Here is a 23,728-nt window from a genome sequence, read left to right as displayed (position 1 = left end):
GGATTACAGGCGCCTGCCACCACACCCGGCTAATTTTTGTATTTATAGTAGAGATGAGGTTTCACCATGTTGGCCAGGCTGGTCTCGAACTCCTGACCTTGTGATCTGCCCACCTCGGCCTCCCAAAGTGCTGGGATTACAGGTGTGACCCACCGCGCCCAACCAATATCTTTTCTTTTTGAGAGAGAGTTTCGTTCTTGTCACCCAGGCTGGAGTGCAACAGTGCAGTCTTGGCTTACTATAACCTCCGCCTTCCAGGTTCAAACGATTCTCCTGCCTCAGCCTCCAGAGTAGCTGGGATAACAGGCATGCACCACCACGCCCGGCTAATTTTGTGTTTTTAGTAGAGACGGGGTTTTACCATGTTGGTCAGGCTGAGCTCGAACTCCTGACCTCAGGTGATCTGCCTGCCTCGGCCTCCCAAACTGCTGGGATTATAGGCATGAGCCACCACGCCCAGCCCCAAAGTATAATATCTTAAATCTTTAAACTATCCTAAAATGCAAGCAAGGTGGGCCTACTCCATATACCAACCTACAAGGGGTGACTGACTCTCCCGCAATATGTCATCATACTTGATAGCATTTGAAAAGAGGCACGTTAAGGACGTGCCTTTGATTCTTCTTTCCCACCAAGGTCACAAAACGTGTCAGGGTCAACTAATTCAACCCAGTGGTGGAAGGTGGAAGAGGAATAAAGACGAACTGAGACTAAATTCTTTCACGTTTCTCTTTTCCTTCCCTGGCCAAAAGAAACTTGAGACCACTACCAGTAAGATAAAACTGTAAACATTCTTTTTTTTTTTTTATTAAGAAAGCATGCAAAAAAACAATGACAACAACTTGTGAGACCATATACCCCCTTCCCAGGATGCAGCAATGCAAAGCATTATGGGTGGTGGCACAAAGGACTCACCAAACCAGAAACATGAGGAGCAGGGACTGAGGAGAGAAAGGTTGGGATGGGTGGATCTATACCAAATAATTACTCCTTTTGTCCCTCTCCTCCACTTTCTCTCTTATTTCCTCTTATAGGCAGTGAGCTTCTGCAGTTTTGCACACATCACCCAATACAACAATAATGACTACACTTTGTGTCCAGCAATGCTAGACCAACAAGAAAAAGTAGTATTCTTTTCATTTCATGAAGGGGAGGGGAAACTGAGGCCCAAAGGGAGTCAGGTTTGCCCTGTGCCACGTAGCAAGACTGGGCTTGGTGGAAGGGAGCTGGAATCTCAGGAGGCCTAATGGCCAATCTCCAGTCCCAGACCCAAACTTCAGCTACCCTGGCTGCACGCCAGAATTCTTCATGAGACTAGTTTGCAGAAGACACAGATGAACAAGGGGCATTTGCATGTATGATCCTACCCTTGCAAATCCTGTATGGATCTGAACAGGAAAAGGGTTTAGAAAAGAGAAGTGATCATTTACAAATGGGGAATATTGAGGAGAACTGATGGGAAGTTTTGTATAGGACACACCCTGACTGGAAGGAATAAGGAAGGAAAAGATGCCTAAAATAGGGACACTGGGCAAAGGCATTTTGCCACCCTCTAAGAGAAATTCTCCTTTCCCCAATGGGAAATATTATGTCATACTTCAACCCCACTAAGTGCCCTCCAACATCATGGGAGATTCAAGCCACTCGCACCCCCATTTCTTTCTTAGAAAGGCTTCAAAGAAATAAAGTGCTCTTTAGTTAACTGCCCTATCTTGCCCCTTTACTTCAGCCTCACTGGACTTCTTCAATGAACTCTCATATATAACCCCCTTCCAAAAAAAGGAAAGGGGTGGATGAAAGAAAAAAGCAGGAGAGCGGAACGCCAAACCTCTTGGAAATTATGGGTAAATAAAATAATATGCATGAAAAGCAGAAATCACAAAGAAAGTGGCCTTGTCTATTCCATACATTTTGTCCCACAGCTTTTCAGCAAGTGAAATAAGGACAGAAGTAAAATTGTTCTTCCCTCTCGTAACTAAAATTCAACAATCAACATTAAATATACACTGAGTACTTTGCAACAGTAAGTCATGGCCACCCCTTGTAAAAGAGATGAGTTAGCTCCATACCTTTTTCTGGGGGTCCCCCTTGGCCCTCACTGAACTCTTGCCTCTAGATTATTTACTCTCCTCCACCAATCTCCTTCACCCCTCAAAGCCTACTTGCAAAAGCTTCAGCCAGATGATCTGGATTCCAAGAGAAGCATCTGCCTATATATTTAAAGAACTAAAATATTCCCTATCCATTTCTTTGCCAGCTCTTTTTTCCTCTCCCCATCCTCCTACCACCAACACTAAAGGTTTGGCTCTGCTATGAGAGGTGGGAATGAGATTCCCATCATGTCTCAGGGCACGACGAAACTCAGAGTGATAATGGGTTACTTTTTCTTTCTTGAGAATCCCAGAAAATGAGGGAAGAAAAAAGATGGGTGGAAGATTTGGGCAAACAATTAAAGGAGGACAAACTAATATTTGCTGAATGGGAAAAAGGGATGGGAAGATCATTCGTAAATGCAAATAAGAGCCACAATTAATTTTCAGAGAAAATTATGTTTAAAAAGCCAAAATAGTTAAGTTGGAATCATCTCCAAGAAGCTAAAACCATGCTGAATAGTTGTCCTCATGCCCTACCATAGAAGCAGAGTTTGGGCTAAAACCAATCCTATCTTCTTAGAGAACAGGCTCAAAACAAGCCAATGGACACTGATGTAACATGGCAGTGTATACTCAGTTTCACACTGACTTATATTCCATCCCTTCCAATGGTCTCCAATTCCACTAGGATTTTATTGTCACCCTCCTGCACCACCATCATCACTTTCACCCTTGATAGGAAATACAGACTGGCAGAAGTAAGGATTGAAGGTATAAAGGGACAAGGAAGACCTCAGAGGACAGAATTAGCACCATTTTAAAACCTCCAAATTCTTGGCTGCCAAGTAATGTTTCAGACCCTTTCTACTTGGTAATGTGGCCTCTCCAGTCCTGGCCTGAAACTGATGGGAACAAAAAACAATTTAGGGCCAAAAGGTGGGATTAGCATTGAGTTTCTCCAAGAGAAAGGTAAACTGGAGTCTAAAACCTTTCTCTGTAGCTATCATGGCTTCATCTTCCAGCCTGATGATTTTAAATTAGCAAAAGGTGGACATGATCCATGATGTAGGGACAGGAGACTATGGACAGTATATAACCAATAATAATAATAATAATATAAGAATAATAATAAAAGAACTAGGAAAAAACAGGAAGGAAGAGAGAAGAATGAGGCAGGAAAGAGAGGGTTATCTTCGGCAGCATCTTGCAGTGGCTTCTCTGACAGAGAAAGAACAAAAAGAGGATATATGTCTATATACAGACGGGGGGAAGGGACGGGCTGGGGTTGCTCTTTCCCCACTGCCAGATTTCACCACGCGGCCCTGGGCTGATGTCCACACTCTGTGATGCACTAAGTGATCAAGTCCCAGTCGAAGTCATCAGGGATCTCCTCATTGGCACCAGGAGGTGGCACTGATGGCCGAGGGACCATATGGTGTGCTGTTAGAAAGAAAGAAAGAGAGTAAAAGGAGAGTGGATGGGAAGCTGTTCCCTCAATTTACAAGGACAGTGCTCAGCCCCAGATAACACCACGAAGAAGGCCTTGTGAGGCTATCGCCCTTATCAGCTGGAGTTAATTTTGGTTGCAGGTCACCATTTCAGTGAGGTCTCAGGAAATAAACTAGAGTAAATTACATTCCACAGCAATTAAATATTATGCTGCCATTAACAATTATACTTCTGACGCCAGGCACAGTTGCTCACACTTGTTATCCCAGCACTTTGGGAGGCCAAGGCAGGCGGATCACGAGGTCAGGAATTCGAGACCAGCCTGGCCAACATGGAGAAACCCCATCTCTACTAAAAACTCAAAAAATTAGCTGGGTGTGGTCACATGTGCCTGTAGTCCCAGCTACTCGGGAGGCTGAAGCAGGAGAATGGCATGAACCCGGGAGGTCTTGCAGTGAGCTAAGACCGTGCCATTGCACTCCAGCCTGGGCGATAGAGCGAGACTCCGTCTCAAAAAAAAAAAAAAATTGTACTTCTGAAAACATATGATAATGATAAAATAACATACAGAAGATAATATCATATGGCTGGGCGTGGTGGCTCATGCCTATAATCCCAGCACTTTGAGAGGCCGAGATGGGTGGATCACTTGAGGTCAGGAGTTCTAGACCAGACTGGCCAACATGGTGAAACCCTGTCTCTACTAAAAAATAAAAATTAGCCAGGCACAGTGGCGGGCGCCTGTGATCCCAGCTGCTCGGGAGGCTGAGGCTCGAGAATCACTTGAACCTGGGAGGCGGAGGTTGCAGTGAGCCAGGATCACACCATTGCCTACTGCACTCCAGCCTGGGCAACAGAAAAAGACTCTGACTCAAACAAACAAACAGAAGATAATATCACATGAAATAGCAGTATAGAAATCTGTATTTATATTATATGGACAAAGAATAGAGAGAGTCAGATGTCACCCCCAAAATTGAAAACACGTGTGGTTAGGCAGAATAACAGTGATTTTTCTATGTGTCTAAATGTGAAGGACCTGTTCATTTTGTTCTGTCTGTGGCAATTTAGTGTCTCCCTGCCCCACCCCCACTATCAGAGATACTTCAGTCCCAGACCCCTGATTCTAGAGATCAGGTGACAGGAAAGCAGACATGGGCACACAGCAAGTATGTGTGGATAACAAATTCATTTTATTTGCCTGAGCACATCTTCCATCTAGATTCCAAAGCCACACAAAAATGTTGCACATAGCTATCTTTTGCTTATATGTATGCTTTCACTTCCTTTTACTATTGCAGTTGCTAATTTTAAAGTACATCTAGCCGGGGCCAGTGGATCACGCCTGTAATCCCAGCACTTTGGGAGGCAGAGGCAGGTGGATCACTTGTGGTCAGGAGTTCAAGACAAGCCTAGCCAACATGGCAAAACCCCGTCTCTACTAAAAATACAAAAATTAGCCAGGCATGGTGGTGTGGGTCTGTAGTCCCAGCTAGTTGAGAGGCTCAAGCAGGAGAATCATTTCAACCCAGGAGGTGGAGGTTGTAGTGAGCTGAGATCGCACCACTGTACTCCAGCCTGGGCAACAGAGCGAGACTCTGTTGAAAAGAAAAGAAAAGGGGAAGGGAAAGGGAAGGGAAGGGAAGGGGAAGGGGAAGGGAAGGGAAAGGGAATGGAAGGGAAGGGGAAAGGAAGGGCAAGGGAAGGGGAAGGGGAAGGAAAGGGAAGGGAAGGGAAAGGGAAGGGGAAGGAAAGGGAAGGGAAGGGGAAGGGAAGGGAGGGGAAGGGAAGAGGAAAGGAAGGGGAAGGGAAGGGGAAGGGGAAGGGAAGGGGAAGGAAAGGGAAGGGAAGGGGAAGGGAAGGGGAAGGGAAGGGGAAGGGAAGGGGAAGGGAAGGGAAGGGGAAGGGAAAGGAAGGGAGGGGAAGGGAGGGGAGGGGACACTGTCTTCGTTAGTCTCCCCGACACACACCTTCTTAGCAGGTAACCCATCCTCCAGCCTTGGGAATTATAAAGGCTCATTCCCTCCAGCGAGATGCAGGCAAAAATGCACAGAATGCCAGCTCAGAGTCAAAGGAAAGCAAAGCAACTCATCAGAGTACAACGGTTTTGAAACAAGCTTCTTAGCTCTTACCTGGGCGATTGTATCCTGCTGAGTCCTGGGTGGGGATTGGGTACATTGGTGATGGGCCAGGGTAGAGGTGGGGAGCTTGTGGGTGCCCATAAGAGTTCACTGCCAAAGCAAGACAAGAGTTACTTGAGTTGGGGGGGGCGGGTCACTGTACTCAACAAAGCAGGGAAGAAAAAAATATACCCTTGCTCCCATCCTCCTTCTCTCTTCCCTGCCCTGTTCTGTAGCTCCTGCAGGCATGAAGGCTTTCTGCAGAAGCTGTCAGTCCTCACCACTGAGGGTAAAAAGAAATGGATAGTACAATTGTGAAATAGGAAAGATATAAGGAAGAAAAATATAGAAACACAGGGCCAGGTATGGTGGCTCATGCCTGTAATCCCAACACTTTGGGCAGCCGAGGTGGGTAGATCCCTTGAGTCCAAGAGTTTGAAGATAGCCTGGGCGACACGGTGAAACCCCAGCTATACACAAAATACAAAAAAAAAATTAGCTGGGCATGGTGGTACACACCTGTAGTCCCAGCTACTCAGGAGGCTAAAGTGGGAGGATCACCTGAGCTCCAGGGGTCAAGGTTGCAGTGAGCCGTGATCACACCACTGCACTCCAGAGCCTGGGCGACAGAGCGAGACCCCATCTCAAAAACAAAAAGCAAGAAACAGGAACATAATCATGACATCTCTCTCATTTCACTAGTTTGAACATCACATAAGCATAGAACCACCATTTCATCCGGTATCACCCAGGCGGTAGGGATTACTGAGACGCAAATTTAAAATACAGCCTTTCTCTAACAAATCTCCTCCCTTTTCTTAAACAATTCTGATCTCCCAAACTGAGGTCTAAAAAGGAATCATACAGTCTATTTCTTTTGCATTTTTCAGTTTAGGACTTCACTGATTCAACAGATATTCAGTCAACTGATAAACTAGTTCCACTGCTCAATTTGGGTCACTGCCCCATAAAATCCTTTCTCTCAGTTCTCTTTTGCCTTTCTCCTATGCTTCCTTTTCAACATAGTCTCCACCTCCATGGCAACTGGCTTGGTGCAGTACCTTGGCTCATGGCTGACTCCTGTTTGCCACTGGTGAGGGCACAGGAGTCAGCAATACGGGCAGGGGCTGGTGGGCGGTGGGTACCCCCTTGAGGGGGCACGTGACCAGTCTGAGTAAGGAAGTGGTTGAGGGAGTCACACAGATTGGCAATGTGATGCTGGTCGAGGGTCCAGTTCTTCTGCTCTGCCTGTCGTAGACTCTCCATCAGTTCTACAAAGAGGGAAGCAAGCAATGCAAACCTTGCAGAGGTAGGAAGCCCCTATCAGACCCCGCCCTATCTCACTGTTCCAAACACACCATCAATCACCCCCACTGATAACGGGCACTAACAATAACAATTTATATCTTTCAGAGCTCTGCATTTTCAAACTCTCATTCTATTTGATCCCTTACCAAATTCTTATAATTGCCATCTTACTGATGAGTAAGATAAACTTTCAATGTGACTGAGTGACTCAGCCAAGGTCACACTGTCAGTGAGTGGTGACAAAACTACAAAATCGTGGTCCACGGTCTCTAAATTCCTGAGGGCCTTCTCCCTCCCAAAGACAGAATGGACTAGGATTATTCACTGCCACATTTTCAGTTAAGACAAGATTAATTTGAGTTAATTTGAAAATAATGTAAATATGATCCATCTTGTGTAAAAAGAAAGAAAAACAATGAAATCCTCATTTCTGCAACTTCATTTAACCACCCCCTTCCGGTTCCAGTTTCTACTGGGTTTTCCCTTACAGTGTATCCCTCTCTTCCTTCGTCCTTTGATCACTAACCTGAGAATTGTGACTGCTCAATGCTGGACCAATTGAGCCGATTCACCATCTTGAAGCTTTCCTTTAAAGAGTCAATATTAGAGCACCAGTCAGAAGGAAAGGCTGTAAAGAGGAGGGGAAAGTGGATAATAAGATAGAGTGAAGTGTAAGACAGCAGTCAACTGATACCAGGCTGACTACATGCAAGATTCTTGCATCTATACAGATTAGCAGTTGCATTTCCAAGTTTTGGACTCTCCCTCCCTGGGAGTTTAGGACTGGAAAAGCTAGCTACGCTTTAAGTACAGCCAGGCTCATAGTCAGGAGAATATGTAAAACAATCTCAATTGATCCAGGAATTCTATAAGACAGAGCTCTAAGTAGTAACTTTGTTCAGATTAGCTCACATGAAGGAGCGAAGCCTAAAAGACCCATCATTAACTTCCTAACTAACTGCACCTCCATGCCGGTGTTAGGACAAGGACATCACCCCACCCTCCTCTAGATCACTGTGCACCCTCCTTACTCACCAAAGCCAGTGTTGTTGATGGGAGCCTGGCCTTGTGCCTGTGGCTGTGGAGGTGGTGGCTGCTGGGCAGGGTGGGAGTGGGGATGGTGCTGATGAGGGTGGTAGCCTCCATGCTGCAGCGGGGGTGGATGCATGGCCATTACAGGGGGAGGCCCATAGCCTTCCGCCCCAGCTTGCTTTCCCCCTGGTGGGGTACAACCATCTGTGCTTGGGGTGTGCAGTGGAGGAGCACCCCCTACAGCTGAGGGGCCCTGGGCAGGTGCCTGCTGCTGCTGTGGCTGGGACTGCTGGGGAGGTGGCTGTGGCGGCTGCTGCTGCTGCTGCTGCTGTTGAGGTGGCGGTGGCTGCTGCTGCTGATACATGTAGTAGTTGTTCGAGGGTGGGATGTCCCCCAGGAGAGAAGAAAAGCCTGCAGGTGGGGAGGAAGCAGGCAAGTGACTTAAGCAATGCATTTTTCACAAAATGGGATTTTCCCTGGGTTGAGATGGGAAGCCTCAGACTAAAACTGTGGAGTTAAAAGGGTAAGAACATTCTAGGGCAGCAAAGATCCCTGTGGCCCTCCTGGCAGGTACAAGAGACAGGAAGGCACTTAGGTTAGAGGAGGGCCCTGACAGTGTGGAGACCACTGAAATCTTACTAAAAAGGTCAGTGTGTAGCATTTAATGCTACTTTTTAGGGATTTGGCTGAAGGCCTGAAATCACAGTTTCCCAGCAGGTGAACTTTAAAAAGGAAACCATCCCTGGTCATCTAGTGTTTAGGGAAAAAAAAAAAAGTAAATCAGAAACAAAACAAAGCCATCAGTTGTCTACTATCTCCTCTTCCTTCCGTTTTTTGTTTTTTGAGACAGAGTTTCGCTCTTGTTGCCCAGGCTGGAGTGCAATGGTGCGATCTCGGCTCACCGCAACCTCCGCCTCCCAGGTTCAAGCAATTCTCCTGCCTCAGCCTCCCGAGTAGCTGAGACTACAGGTGTGTACCACCACGCCTGGCTAATTTTGTATTTTTAGTAGAGACGGGGTTTCTCCATGTTGAGGCTGGTCTCGAGCTCCTGACTTCAGGTGATCCGCCCACTTTGGCCTTCCAAAGTGCTGGGATTACAGGCATGAGACACCACGACCGGCCCCTTATTTTCTCTACACTCTGCTACTGCCAAGTCATTCCTGTACCCTCTATAAACAAATGTAGCTTGGGTAAGGAGCAGAGACAGGATGGAGTTATTTCTCAAGCAGACAGGCTGGGAAGAACAAAAGTCTGAGACTAGGGGCTTTCGGTCACAATAAAACTTGAGTGAACTCTAGGCTGTCCTCACCCAATCTAATTTTTTACTTTATTTCTGACAGTTTCTCATGTTCCCTCCTCCAATCAACCAACCACCTGAGTCGGATTCATTTTTTGAGCAAATGCTACAGTCTTGGACACTACTCTAGGAATTGATCCCCTGTGATATACAAGAAGAAATTCATGAAAATGAATATAAGTTTTCCAAAAAGTGACTCCTAACCAGTTTTTATCATTCCATTCAGCCCCTGCTGCCAACATAGGGCTACTGCACAGAATGAGAAGGTCTAATGCCTCACCTGAAATCAACTTCACCACTGTCTCTAAGTTATTTAAAAAACGAACACACAGATATTGCAGAGGGCCGAACCAGATGTTCTCTCAAGGGGCCTCCCAGTAAAAACTTTAAGTCATTCTCATATGATAATTAGGAAAATGTGCACGGACAAGATACTAGCTGATATTAAGGATGTATTATCAATTATGTTAGGAATGATAATGTCATGGTAGATAACTAGAAGAAAGTCATCATTTAGAGGTGTATATCGAAGTTGTATTTATGAGTGGAATGACATGGTATATGTGAATTCCATTAAATTACTCCAATTTTTAGAAGGCTCAGTGGTAAACAAAACAAGCCTAATAAAATACTGATAACTTAAAGTTGGGGGATGGAACACAGGGGTTTATTATATTTTTCTCCACACTTTTGCATCTGTTTGCAATTTTTCACAATAAAAGTAACATAAATGTAAATACACTAAAAAGAAACTGTTCTCACAATGAAACGCAGGGATTCTTCAGGAGAGGGTACTGCTGCTGCCCCCTCGTGGTCGTCCTCCAAATGACTCACTTGCAGCCCTAAAATCACTGCCCTTAGTCCTGGAAGGGGCAATCCTCCAATTCACTTTCTGAAGCTATTAGCCTAGCTTGCCTCCTGAAACAGCTGTATTTGCACAAGGACAGATGAGCTCACTTGACTCCAAACAGTTTTAGTTCATGAAATATTTCCTCTGAGTAGTGATACCTCTCTTTGTGTTAAAAATAAGAAATATGGGTCAGGCACAGTGGCTCACGCCTGTAATCCCAGCACTTTGGGAGGCTGAGGTAAGTGGATCACCTGAGGTCAGGAGTTCAAGACCAGCCTGGCCAACGTGGTGAAACTCCGTCTCTACTAAGAAATATAAAAATTAGCCAGGCGTGGTGGCGGGAGCCTGTAATCCCAGCTAATTGGGAGGCTGAGACAGAAGAATTGCTTGAACCTGGGAGGCGAAGGTTGCAGTGAGCCGAGATCGCGACACTGCTCTCTAGCCTGAGCAACAAAGAGCGAAACTGTGCCTCAAAAAAATAAAGAAAGAAATATGGCCGGGCACGGTGGCTCACGCCTGTAATCCCAGCACTTTGGAAGGCCAAGGTGGGTGGATCACTTGAGGCCAGGAGTTCGAGACCAGCCCAGCCAACGTGGTGAAACCCTGTCTCTACTAAAAATACAAAACTTAAGCCAGGCACAGTGACTCATGCCTGTAATTCCAACACTTTGGGTGGCCAAGGCAGGCAGATCACCTGAGGTCAGGAGTTCGAGACCAGCCTGGCCAACATGGTGAAACCCTGTCTCTACTAAAAGTACAAAAATTAGCTGGGTGTGGCATGCGCCTGTAGTCTGAGCTACTCGGGAGGCTGAGGAAGGAGAATTGCTTGAACCCGGGAGGCGGAGGTTGCAGTGAGCCGAGATTGCGCCACTGCACTCCAGCCTGGGCGACAAGAGCGAGACTCCATCTCAAAAAAAAAAAAAAAAATACAAAAATTAGCCAAGCGTGGTAGCACGTGCCTGTACTCCCAGATACTCGAGAAGTTGAGATGACAGAATTGCTTGAACCCGTGAGGCGGAGGTTGCAGTGAGCTCAGATCGTGCCACTGCACTCCAGCTTGGACGAAAGAGTGAGACCCTGTCTCACAAAAAATAAAAATAAAAAACTAAGGGAAAAAAGAAAATGTCACCCCACTTGTTCAACAAGATAAAAAAGTCTCCCTGCACCCATCCCAACTCCAGACTCACCGTGCTGAGAGGAGGAAGAGGACTTCTCCAGCATGGACTTATAGAGGTTGCGGAAGGACCAGCTTAGATCCTGAAAGTTGATCTCTGAGTAGGAGAATTTAAAGTCATGGTTGGTGTTATAGAGGGGAGGGGGACCCTCAGCACTTTCTCGGCCTGAAGCCCCTGCTGCCACTGCTCCACCATCCACAGATCCTGTGCCCTGCAAAAACAGGTAAGAAATTCCTGATCAGTGTCCCAGCTGAGGGACCAATAAAACCCTTCAATGGTCACCAGGCTCTCCTGTCTGTCCTCTTCATCCTCGCCTAGCTCTTCAATGACCCAGCATCATTTTCTCCTTCTTTCCTCATTAGTTCTTATCTTGAATCTACCCTCTTTCTCTCATCAGTCTCCATTTCTTCTTTTTTGTTTGTTTGTTTGTTTCTGAGGCAGGGTCTCGCTCTGTCGCCCAGGCTCCACCTCCCCGGTTCAAGTGATTCTCATGCCTCAGCCTCCCAAGTAGCAGGAACTATAGGCACATGCCACCACGCCCAGCTAATTTTGTATTTTTGTAGAGATGGGGTTTTGGCATGTTGGATAGGCGGGTCTCAAGCTCGTGGACTCACGTGATCCGCCTGCCTCGACCTCCCAAAGTGCTGACATTACAGGCATGAGCCACTGTGCCCAGCTTTTTTTTCCTGATGTTTCTCAAAGTTCTGCTATGCCTTTCTATTTCTCTCTCTCTCTATTTCCCTCTTTTGCCTTCCCCTTCCTTCTCAATTTATCTGCCTCATATATCACAGATACTCAATACATAATTCTGAATAAACAGGGAGACATCTGAATCTATTCACCACCCATCCCATGACCCCTGCCATATCTGCTTCCTACCTGGCTGTAGCTGGCTATAGATGTGGGGCTCTGAAGTGACATCTGCGGATTCCCCTCAGGAGGCAGTGAGGCTTCTCCACTCCCTGCAACGCCTCCCCGTGGGCTCTTGCTTGCCTCCTGTTCTGGTGAGTCTTGGGACAGCTGAGGGTTGTGAAAAAAAAGAAATCTATAAGCAGAGGCGCAATATCCTCCCAAGACCCATGGTTTCCCCTCTGCTGGTATTCCTTCCACCTTTGCCTCTGAAAGGACTGAACGTCCATAAGAGGAGGTGGAAGGAGCAGCTGGCTCAGATATGGCATCTCCTCATGAGCTGGGAACTTACATCATCATCTGGAGGGTGTCTTCTCTTTCGGGAAATGTCAGGGCAGGTGTCAATTGTCCAATAGGAACCCTGGAAGGAGATCCCATTCCCACAGAAAACAAAATTGTTACATTCAGAACCTCCCAGGGTTCTGGGTATTAATGAAGAGCAAATTTGTCCTAGAAACTCACTGAGTATGCCAGAGGTAATCCTGTGGTCCAAACACAGGCCTCGATTGTTTTGGAGGGGCAGAACAATGGCATCTAGCTCAAAGAGCTGGAAATGTCCAGACACAGCCTCTCCCTTCCCTTCTGACCTGAGGCAAAACTTGCTTGGACTTTAGCATCCACATCTGTCAAATGGAGAGAATGATCCATCCCTTCTCTTTTACGGGGGAAACACCAGGGACTTTTGTATAGAGATGTTTGTACAAAGGTTATTAAGTCTACCTTTTACATCTAGGAAAAAAGAGTGCCACACAAAAAAGGGGGAGCATGAAAGTCAACTTTACACTAAGTATTTCTATTTTTTTAAAAAAAAGATTTCACAGTCTTTTTTTTTTTTTTTTTTTTTGAGATGGAGTTTCACTCTTGTTGCCCAGGCTGGAGTGCAATGGCACAATCTCAGCTCACTGCAACCTCTGCCTCCCAGGTTCAAGCAATTCTCCTGCCTCAGCCTCCTGAGTAGCTGGGATTACAGGCATGTACCACCACGCCTGGCTAATTTTTTGTATTTTTAGTACAGATGGGGTTTCACCATGTTGACTAGGCTGATCTTGAACTCCTGACCTCAGTTGATCCGCCCGCCTCGGCCACCTAAAGTGTTGGGATTACAGGCATAAGCCACCACGCCTGGCCTCACAGTCTTTCTCAGTCACCCATTCTACTGGGGGCCCATAAGCTTGACAACCAAGCTTCCTCTGAGAAAAAAATAAAGATGCTTCTCTAATTAGCATGATTTCCTCTTCTGGGTAATTAAAACAGCCACAGGACTCTGGACTGTCAACTACTTCACTCTCCTTCCTACTCCTCCTTTCAATGCTTACAGTAGTATCTTACCTTCCCAGGGTCATCCCGAGGTCTGGGCACCTTCCGGAAACACTTGTTGAGAGAAAGGTTGTGCCGTATTGAATTCTGGAGAGGCAGAGAAGCAAGTTAGGCCTGAGCATTATGCAGAGCAGAACATTTTCCAATAGAACACAGAGGGACACACAAAAAAACATAATACACCATGCAGTTGAAGTATCAGGGTAAGCTCAGTACCTCTTAACTACACCGATGGAGGGAATTATGCATCAAATAGCAATAGCAATGAGATAAGAAAAATGCAGAGATTAAACTGATGGGAGGGAATGGCTATAAATTTGATTACTAATGCTTCTGAAAAAACTGATTATATAGTTTTTCAATCTTTCCAGCCGAGTAACAAGTATATAAATGCCTCACAATCACATCTGCCCAGTTCCTCAATCTACCCTACTGATAGCAAAAGAACAATGTTTTAAAACTTTTTATATAAATTGAGTGAAACAAAAACACAGATCACCTTCATTTTCTCAATAGCCCATAGAATGTTCACATTTGGAGGAAAGAAATATTGTATAAGTGTGTTGGGGTCAGGCGTGGTGGCTCACGCCTATAATTCCAACACTTTGGGAGGCTGAGGTGGGCTGATCACCTGAGGTCAGGAGTTCGAGACCAGCCTAGCCGACATGGTGAAACCCCGTCTCTACTAAAAATACAAAAATTAGCCAGGCGTGGTAGCACATGTCTGCAATCCTAGCTACTCAGGAGGCTGAGACAGGAGAATCGCTTGAACCCAGGAGGCAGTGGTGGCAGTGAGCCCAGATCATGCCACTGCACTCCAGCCTAGTGAACAAGAGCGAAACTCCGTCTCAAAAAAAAAAAAAAATGTGTGTGTTGGGTGGGATTGGGGATTATGGTAGCTAGCAGGGACATATTTACAAAGGGAAAGCTCAATGGGCCAGGCACAATGGCTCATGCCTGTAATTCCAGCATCTTGGGAGGCCGAGATGGGAAGATCACTTGAGTCTAGAAGCCTGAGGCCAGCTTGGGCAACACAGTGAGACCTCATTTCTACAAAATAAAAAAAAGTTCCTGTGCATGGTGGTGTATGCCTGTAGTCCCAGCTACTCAGGAGGCTTAGGTGGAAGGATTGCTTGAGCCCAGGTTCAAGCTGCAGTAAGCTGTGATTGTACCACTACAATCCAGCCTGGGTGACAGAGCAAGACCCTGTCTTAAAATTAAAAAAAAAAAAAAGAGAGGCTGGGTACGGTGGCTCACACCTGTAATCCCTGCACTTTGGGAGGCTGAGGCAGGAGGTGGATCATTTGAGGTCAGGAGTTCAAGACCAGCCCAGCCAACATGGTGAAACCCCGTCTCTATTAAAAATACAAAAAAAATTAGCTGGTTGCAGTGGCAGGCGCCTGTAATCCCAGCTACTCGGGAGGCTGAGGCAGGAGGATTGCTTGAACCCAGGAGGCGGAGGTTATGGTGAGCTGATATCACGCCACTAAACTCCAGTCTGGGGACAGTGAGACCCTGTCCCCCACCCCCACAAAAAAAAAAAGAAAAGAAAAGAAAGCTGAGTGCTTTCAATAGTCTCCAACTCACTACATGGTTTGTATGTCAACTGGGGATTTATAGAGTGAGAGAACTACATATAAAGTTCCTATTCCTACTCAACAATTGACAAATGAGCTACTGCTCCAAAAAATTGAGCCTATCAGCCTTCTTGCTTTGCTTAGGAGAGGAGCCCCTTCTTTCTTCATCTCCAGCCAAACAACTTAACTTCTCATTACTTGCTTGGTAGCCAGCTGTTTGTAAAGAACCTAATTATATTATGATTTTTCTTGGAATGCAGCTTTTCAAAAGATGATGACTGTGCAATGGAGCTATGGAAATCTGATGCTCTAGATTAGACTCCTACCTCTAGGTAGGAAGGAGTGATGCCATGCCTTGCACAGTGACTGGAACATCGTAGAATGGCAATAAACATTTGTGAAATGAGTGAATATCCTCTTTGAGGGATCAGAAGACAAGAGGATGTGGGCCGGGTGCAGTGGCTCATGCCTGTAATCTCAGCACTTTGGGAGGCTGAGGCGGGTGGATAATGAGATCTGGAGTTCGAGACCAGCCTGGCCAACATAGCGAAACCCTATCTCTACTAAAAATACAAAAAATCAGCCGGGCACGGTGGCGGGCACCTGTAATCCCAACTACTCAGGAAGCTGAGGCAGGAAAATCGCTTGAACCTGGGAGGTGGAAGTTGCAGTGAGCCGAGATCATGCCATTGCACCCCAGCCCAGGCGACAGTACGAGACTCTGTCTCAAAAAAAAAAAAGAAGATAAGAGGGTGTGATGAGCAACAGCGTCCTGCCATCCCCATCACTATACTTAATGGCTTGGAGTTTCCCTAATATACCTTATAAAAGTTGTTCAACTCTGAAAAAAAAGTAGAGGGCAGAACATATGAGATTTTAAGTTTTCACATCTCTGAGACAAACCAGAGTAAACTGAACAGGTTACAAGAAGAAACAAAACCTTTTTCTCTAAAAAGGCTGTTGAAGCCTAAACCTAAGCCAAGATTATAGAAGCATTCCCACCTTCCAACCAATGCCAGCATTCTTGTAATAGGGGAAGTTATCACAGATCCAGCGGTAAATCTCGCTGAGGGTCATCTTCTTGGCTGGAGAGGAGTTGATGGCATAGGTGATGAGAGTGGCATAGCTGTATCGTGGCTTGCCGTCCTGGTGCACTGCTGCCTCGTCTTTGCTCAGGGTGGCATTAGGATCTGTGGGTGACCCTGGTGAACACTTGCGGCTGCTCCCGGGAGGCCCAGCCTGGGAGGCACTTCCAAGCTTCTCAATGGTAGCTCGGAGGGTCAGCTGGGGGAGCCAGTCTATGGAGGTGAGGCTACTCTCTAGGTCAGAAGCCATGGTACTTCTGGGTTCTGCAGAGAAGACAAAGAGGAGACGAAAATACTGGGGGCAAGTAATACTCAAATCCTTTTGTTTGAGGGAAGTAGAGTTTCTTCCTACTCTCATTCCCATAAGACACCCATGGCATGGCCTTCCACCAGGTGTTCCCAGAATCCCCAAGCAGATCTATCTACCAGATGATGGACTGCTAGTTACCCTACATCTTATTGTGGAGCAGGGCCAAGGGGCCTCTCCATGTAAGACTAAAAGAGACCAAACTTCACACCAAATGGAGCTATTTCCTCAATTCACCTTACTCATAGCCCTACAACATAGTATTTTTAAACTATGTAGGAATGGGTTTGAAAAAAGAAAAACCCCACTTAGATAGCAGGTAAAATTAAAAGTCCATTCTGCAATCATGTGACACCTGTTATATTTTCATACAACATGCACAGATAGACGGCACGAACGTACATATAAAGCAAAAGTCTACCTAAATACAAACATACACGGATGAAGCACACACCAACACGTCTAAAGATGTTTCCTACTAGATGCATTACGAGCACTTGCCCTTTTTATCCCACACACATGTGCACCTGAGGCATATTAGATATATCCCAGGCATAAAGTATACATGACAACCAGCAGACAGACTCATAAACAGTGAAGCACATACACAGAGATCACGATTACATATACAGCATACATTACCACCAGAGGACAAAGTCACACACAGAAGCAACACATCCTGAAGTACACAGCTGCCCTCACACTTTTTAAGCTACCCCTTGCACGCTCCCGCCCACAGACACCAACACCAGGAAGAAGTCATCCACAAGGACCTCCCACCTCTCAGCCTGCTGGGCTTCACCGAGCCAGGGAGACACCCAGCTGTGTGCCTACCGGTAACAATCAGATAGCCTGGCTAAAAATAGCCACTCTGGAGCTCGGAGCTGGCTCCCCTTCTCCGCCCTCCTCCTCCCTCCTTCCTTCCCAGCCAGGCAGGCACGCTCGCTGCACCTCCATGCAAACTCCTGGAGCTGCCAGACCGCCTACGCCTGATGCTTGCACGCCCTGCTGCCACCCACACTGCCTGGGCACTCTTGCCAGCAGAGAGGTATAGCTAGTGACATCTTGCGAGGGAAGGTGAAGAACGATGGGTGATATCTGTATTGCAGGGTCTAGAAAGGCTGGCAGGAACCCCTAGGTAGCCATTTGGCACTCCCCTAGAGCTGATGCCAGCAACCCCCTAAGCACTTGCTGCCTAGCAGGTTTGTGCCTGCACAGCCGCCAGATGCCAGCTAACATTGTCTTCCTCAGTCCCACCAGGGCACTTCTCCTGAGGAGCCAGGACTAGATTGCCTCAAAGTTCAGAATCCTGAACAGAAACGTATGATGTAAGTGATCTCTAAATCCACAGCCAGATATATGCACAAGCGTATCCATAAAATACAACAGATCCACACACTTTGCAGGCCAAAGCTCAACAGCAGATAGGACCATGTCCCCCTCTCTCCTGACTCCAACACATCCTTCAGGGTCTCAGCTCCCTCTTCTATCCTAGGTAGTGATTCTTCTGCCCTTGACCCTTAAGCCTTTCTCCTAGGGGTCAGCATTCTGACTTACTCCCCTCTCCCCAAGGTCCCACCCACGCAGATGGCAATCTGCATGTGTGCACAAGTACCCAGCTCCTAACCAGCAACACACTCACTCCACAAGGCTGAAGGAAACACCTTAGTGCCTCAGGGGCGGGGGCAGCAAGAGACGCAACTCTAACCCAAGAATTGTTTGACAGGAGAAAAGGGGCGGAGCGAGGGGGGCTGGCATGTTTATAAATAGCGTCATGAAGGGTTTCCCCTTTATCCTTAGCTTCTCTCCCACTATCCTCTTCATCCCACTGCCACCTTGCCCTAACCATGGAAACTTGGAAACTAATAGGAACACTTAATCATTCCAGGAACCTCACACCTTCCAATACTACTAAGTCAAAACACCCCAGTCCCTGGGCTATAGCAGATCACATATATACTTGTATACTTGTAGCAGGATCACAGTCCTGTAGCTGGGTCATCTGAGCTGAAGAGTGGCATGCCAATGAGCAGGTTTCCAATGACCAGGGTCCTCCTGGGTCCTCCCCAGATGGGGAGGTCCCTAAAGTACTTCTGCCCTATTCCCTATTTATCTCCTTCTAAAGATCCCTAGGAAATTTCATCTTAAGAGCACGGAGGCCTTCAGTTGATGTTCATTTGAAACAACTTTCCCAGCATTGGACAGGGGCATGAGAGTGGATTTAAAGTGTTTAGAGGGCTTACAGAAGAACCCATTTGGCACATGCCAATCACAGTGAGTTCCTGAAAGGGAAGCACTCTCAGCCTTTTGCAAGTTGTTCTACGCCCTTCCCTACCCTTACCCTAGCACCAGGTTAGGACACTGAGGTTAAATTTAACCTTTCTCCAGCCCCCTTCCAGTCAGCCCTCCAGATACAGCCCCCAGCACTCAAAATATATTCAAATCTCACCAGCTACAAGCAGCTTGTAGCATCTGATTCTTTTGATCTTTCCGCACCGTTCTCCTTTGACCCATCCCACTTCCTCACCCTCTTCACTTCCCCATTTGTGAAGGGCAGCCCAGCATGTAGAGCCTCAGAGACTGAGGTTCCTTGGTTCTATTCCAAATCCTGCTGGACTGTCCCTAACCATCCGTGCCTCTCTGATGAAGTGTTTTTTGTTTTTGTTTTGTTTTGTTTTGTCTTTTTGGAGACGAAGCCTTGCTCTGTGGCCCAGGATAGAGTACAGTGGCGCGATCTCGGCTCACTGCAACCTCCATCTCCTAGGTTCAAGCGATTTTCCTTTCTCAGCCTCCCGAGTAGCTGGGATTATAGGCACACGCCACCACACCCGGCTATTTTTTGTATTTTTAGTAGAGGTGGGGTTTCACCATGTTGGCCTGGCTGGTCTTGAACTCCTGACCTCAGGTGATCTACCCATCTCGGTCTCCCAAAGTGCTGGGATTACAGGTGTGAAACACCATGCCTGGCCCCCAGTGAAGTCTTGATGCCTCAGTTTCCCCCTTCCATAAAAGAGATGAACCCATAAACCCTGCCAAAGCATCGTCCCTGGAGGGAAGTGAATGAAACTTAATGAGCTGGTGGCTGCCACACATTCCACGCTCCCCAAAATAATGGCACGAGGCTAATGTTCAGGGCTATTATTAGAAAGGCAAACAAGAGGTACTTCCATTTCTCAGTCCAACCAACCTAGTTACCCAGACCTCTCTCTCCAGGGCCCTGTGCCACGGGGCTTGGGCAGAACCTGAGTCAGGCCACATTCTTCTCTGTGTGCTGGAAGACTGAAAGGAAATACCCATAGAAGCTGGGAAAGGCAGCCAAAGGGCAGGGTCCATCACATCCACACGACGTCTAATGAAGACTACAGAACTGGGAGAAAGGCAGAGAAAAACAGACACATAGACATTCTCGGAGTGAAAGACCGATCCTGGATGAAACATGTAAGATCCACAATAACAGGCTCAGTTTTCTTCCCATTTTATCTGAAAGGCCACTAATTGTTCTAATGCCAATGTCAGGTAATAAGGTGTGATGACTTCCTGCCCCATACAGAATGCTAGAACAAAGAGGGCAGTGGCTAGGTGTAGCACATGAGGAGTTAGGCTGCCTGAGTTTCAATCCCAGCTCCACTATTTTGATTGTTGTAAGGATTACCTTGAGTTAATATTTTTAGAGCACTTAGTAAGTGCTAAATAAATGTAGCTGTTGTTTTTAAATGGGGAAAAAAGAGAATACTAGAAATTAAAAATTAGCAAACTGACAGACTATAGAGGTAGAAGTGGAAGCAGCAAGCCTGCAGTGGTTTGCATTACAAAGCCTGCACTGCATCTGCAATGGTTTTCAGGATGTCAGAATCTCAAACTTTTCCTTTAGAGATAATATCACCCAGTACTGGCTAATGCTAGGATCAGGAAGACTCTAAGGATGAAGGAATGAGGAACTATCATCTCTTATCTTCCCGGGGGAACTAGGTGTAGTCATAAGACATGGTCTGGGAAAGCACACTCTCTAAACCACAGTTAATCCCACTCAGTAGCCACCTACTTCTAACTGATTCCAGAGAAGCAAGCAGGGTTAGGGAACTCAGTCCAAGCAGGGCCAGTTAAACTGCGTGGCGGTGGTGTACTTGGAGATGTTGTGATATAGTTCACCCTGAGCCATTCAGGCAGGTGCACGCCAGCATCTGGTGAAGTACTTTATAAGAAACAGGCTGCTGTTAACCAGCGAGGCCTCTTTTGTAAAAGGTAGGGGAAGGAGTTCTGGAGTTAGGAGTCAAGGATCCTCATCCTTCTGAGACCAGAGGTATCAGCAATGAAGCTCTCTTATTAGTCCTAGAAGAAATGATCCCAGCCTGAGACTGGGTTGCCCTGCTGCTTAAAGGACTGTCCTGTAGACCGTCACGAGGGCTCCCATTGACTGGGGGGAGGCCAAGCCTTTCCCCTCAGGTGGCCATCCTTACCACCACCTATCCATGTCCTTGTACAGAGGCACCTGCTTCTAGAGGCCCACCAGAAACATACAATTCTAGGTAACTGGAGTATAGTCTGAAAAGCACATAAGTACCTGTCTCCACACACATACCCACTTGAAACAGAGAGCCACATTCACATGAATTAAGAAGTATATGCATGTTGTCCTATAGCACAGCCACACAAACCTGTGCCCTATCTCATATACCACCAGTAGCTTCCAGGACAAATGACTGTACTCAGGAATTTAGGTAGACCTCACCCATGCCCCAGAGAGAGGAGGAAATATGAAAGGCCAAGTCAGATGAAGCCTCCTTCACAACTTGTCCTTGCTGTGAGACAGAAGATAAGGTATCTGCTAATGGTGAGGCAGGAAAGCAGACAACCAGCTAGTGACCTCTCCTAAAAACAGCCTAGGCTTCAGGGGAGGATTTCCTGGTACCCTTTTCCTGCCTTTTCTGAAGATTCTGGACTTTGATAATTCCCTAGCTTATGAAGGAAAACTTTAACACAAGGTTCGAGGGACTCAGAACTGAACAAGAAACAGGAAGGGAGAGGATGAGACTATTAGGTACTTTTCTGGAAGGAAACTTTATATACTCCTCAGAAGTGAAATCTCTCCAGTGGTCAACTTGTTTAACTGGAAGTCTGGACAGAAGCGGAGCAGCAGCCCTCCTCCCTTCGTATCCAGGATCTAATTTTTCCTGAAGAATTGTGAGCAAAAAACAGGAGTCGAGAAGGGGACTGGGGCAGTGGTTCAGGGCCAGCATCAAGGAAGCACTTTAACCCGGGAGTTGGCATTCCCCTGCACACTTTCTTCTCGCCTCAGAACATGTGGGATTCCCATTTTCCCTTTGGATTTTATGGGCAGAGGCATACATCCAGCTAGGAATGGAAATGTCAGGAGAGGAGGCCTCTTGGTATCTGAGATAGGATGAGCAGGAACAGATTGCTTTTCTTGTCAAGGGAGCTATAATTGCAGTAAGCTGGAGGGAACACCTCTGGTGAACACTAAGCTGACCTCGGCATGCCCTGGGCAAGGCCAGGACCCCAGATGCCACCGTGATTTTCATGACAGCCCACTCTCCAGGGGAAAAGGCCCAAGGGTGAAGGGTGGTATGGGAATCTTACCACTGGTTGGGTTGTGTAAATCACTGCTACACAGTATGCATGTTCTCAAAATGCAGCTGTTTTCCGATAACCCTTTTCCTCAGCATGAAAACATCCACTTCCCTAAGGGACCTAAAATGAATCCCATCCCTTTAGTCCCCAAACACTAAGAAACCCATTTCTCAGAGCTTCTGCAGCAAGATGTGGGTTCAAATCCAGGAGCTCCCTTGGATCACATTTCCCATTGGATTTTCTGAGTCATCACTCTGTCTTCCCCGGCAGTGAAACCCACGATCCACCAGCTCAACCCCCTACACCCACTAGTGCCAGACAATGACAGAGAGAAGATGAAAGAAAGCACTAACCTGTCTCCAAGGTTCCTCCGGCAAAGGGAGGGAACCACCTGGTACTGGAGTTTGGGGTTGGAGGGATTCCCCTCTTCAGAGGCAGGTGACGGCTCTCATCCTCAGTGGCTCTTCCTGGACGAGGCTGAGCCTCCCAAGTTGGTGAGGGGAACTGGGTCCCCTGAGGATGAGGAGTCAAGGTTGGAGGAGGGGGAGGGGGAGGAGAAGGAGGTCCTACTTGGGGAAGGTGGCACACCCCCCACACCCTGCTTGTTACCCGGGGGAGGAGGGGAGGAGCCTCTCCCAACCAGGAGTTGTCTCCTCCCCCTTGGGGGAGTTCCCCTCCCCCCCAAACTGGATCTTTCTGAGGTGGAGGGCTCTTTCTGTCTGCTGGAGATAGGAGCGGAGGGGCTCCACCCCGTTCCACTGTCTAGGCACGAGGAAGTTGAGGGGGAGGTCTTCCCCTCTCCAGAAGGCTGAAAGCCGATTCCTCTTCTTTCCCTGGAGTGGCTTCTGAACGTAAGGACTCCTGTCTCCTGTGAATAGTGGTGGGCCGAGGGTGCCTACTCCACAGGCACAGCCCCGTCTCTCTTTGCCTCCAAAGTCCTGAACTGTTGAGAGTGTGTGTTTGGAGGGGCGGGGGCGCGCTAGGGTGGTCTCACTCTGCTTCCCTACGGAAAGCTCCCTTCTTTCCACTTCTGGGGGTCTCCTCCCCGGCCAGTACAGGGGTCTTCCTCGCCTCTAGGCAGGAGAGAGGCGTCCCCTCCAGGGGTCTCTTCTTTCCCTCACCCGAGTGGTAAGGGTCTTTTCTCTCCAACAGGGGGAGAGGTTGCTCGCGTCCCCGCTCCCGCCTCCGCTCCCGGGGTGCCCCAGAGGGTGGGGCTTTCGTACTCCCGGCTGTCCCTGAGCTGGCCTGGGCAGCACGGTCCGGGAGGCCGCGGCTCGAGACTCCGGTCCCTGCTACTGTGGCGGCAGCACCTCCTCTAGGGCCGTCCTGTCGGGTCCGCTCCCTTCGGCGCGTGGGGCTCCCCGCGCTGCCACCGCTCGGGCTCCGACCAGTCTGGGCTCCCGGGGAGCCAGAAGGCGGGCAGACAGTGTCAGGGCTCGGCGCGGGCTCGGGCTCGGCTCGGCTCCGCTGCAGGCCCCGGCTCCTCCCCGGCCTCCGCGCCGCGCTCCGCGCCCCTCCCCCTCCCCCGCCCGCCGGCCGCTGCCGCCACCGCCTCCCGGCGCGGGTTAAGGAGGAGCCGGGAGACGCCGAGCCGCGGGCAGCGCCGAGCCGCGAGCCTCG

At 47.8% G+C, this 23,728-nt stretch overlaps 1 protein-coding gene across 5 annotated transcripts, besides 3 other annotated features; it reads right to left on the bottom strand.

Annotated features, from left to right (window-relative positions):
• On the bottom strand, positions 778 to 23,579 carry FOXJ2 (forkhead box J2). 5 transcript variants are annotated; one of them, XM_011520761.3, is made up of 13 exons: positions 22,462 to 23,579; positions 22,118 to 22,228; positions 16,130 to 16,476; positions 13,563 to 13,637; positions 12,526 to 12,594; positions 12,204 to 12,344; positions 11,337 to 11,535; positions 8,006 to 8,413; positions 7,497 to 7,598; positions 6,724 to 6,933; positions 5,855 to 5,945; positions 5,675 to 5,773; positions 778 to 3,533 (listed from the first exon to the last, which is right to left on the bottom strand). In XM_011520761.3, the coding sequence occupies exons 3-13, from the start codon at positions 16,460 to 16,462 to the stop codon at positions 3,485 to 3,487; spliced, it is 1,776 nt and encodes a 591-aa protein (XP_011519063.1). In that variant the 5' UTR covers positions 16,463 to 16,476; positions 22,118 to 22,228; positions 22,462 to 23,579; the 3' UTR covers positions 778 to 3,484. The 5 variants fall into 5 exon arrangements, with proteins under 5 accessions (XP_011519063.1, XP_047285108.1, XP_011519062.1 ...); XM_047429152.1 differs by lacking the exon at positions 5,855 to 5,945; XM_011520760.3 differs by lacking the exon at positions 22,118 to 22,228.
• Positions 17,246 to 17,375: an enhancer, noted in NCBI's record as "active region_5926". NCBI's record gives its function as "activates an Ori minimal core promoter by ATAC-STARR-seq in GM12878 lymphoblastoid cells {active_cell/tissue: GM12878}" and the evidence as "EXISTENCE:reporter gene assay evidence [ECO:0000049][PMID:35858748]".
• Positions 18,884 to 18,983: an enhancer, noted in NCBI's record as "active region_5925". NCBI's record gives its function as "activates an Ori minimal core promoter by ATAC-STARR-seq in GM12878 lymphoblastoid cells {active_cell/tissue: GM12878}" and the evidence as "EXISTENCE:reporter gene assay evidence [ECO:0000049][PMID:35858748]".
• Positions 23,485 to 23,724: a silencer, noted in NCBI's record as "silent region_4207". NCBI's record gives its function as "represses an Ori minimal core promoter by ATAC-STARR-seq in GM12878 lymphoblastoid cells {active_cell/tissue: GM12878}" and the evidence as "EXISTENCE:reporter gene assay evidence [ECO:0000049][PMID:35858748]".

The sequence above is a fragment of the Homo sapiens genome, chromosome 12, assembly GCF_000001405.40.
Source record: "Homo sapiens chromosome 12, GRCh38.p14 Primary Assembly".
Lineage (NCBI taxonomy): Eukaryota > Metazoa > Chordata > Mammalia > Primates > Hominidae > Homo > Homo sapiens.
This window is presented reverse-complemented; position numbering and strand designations above follow the sequence as displayed.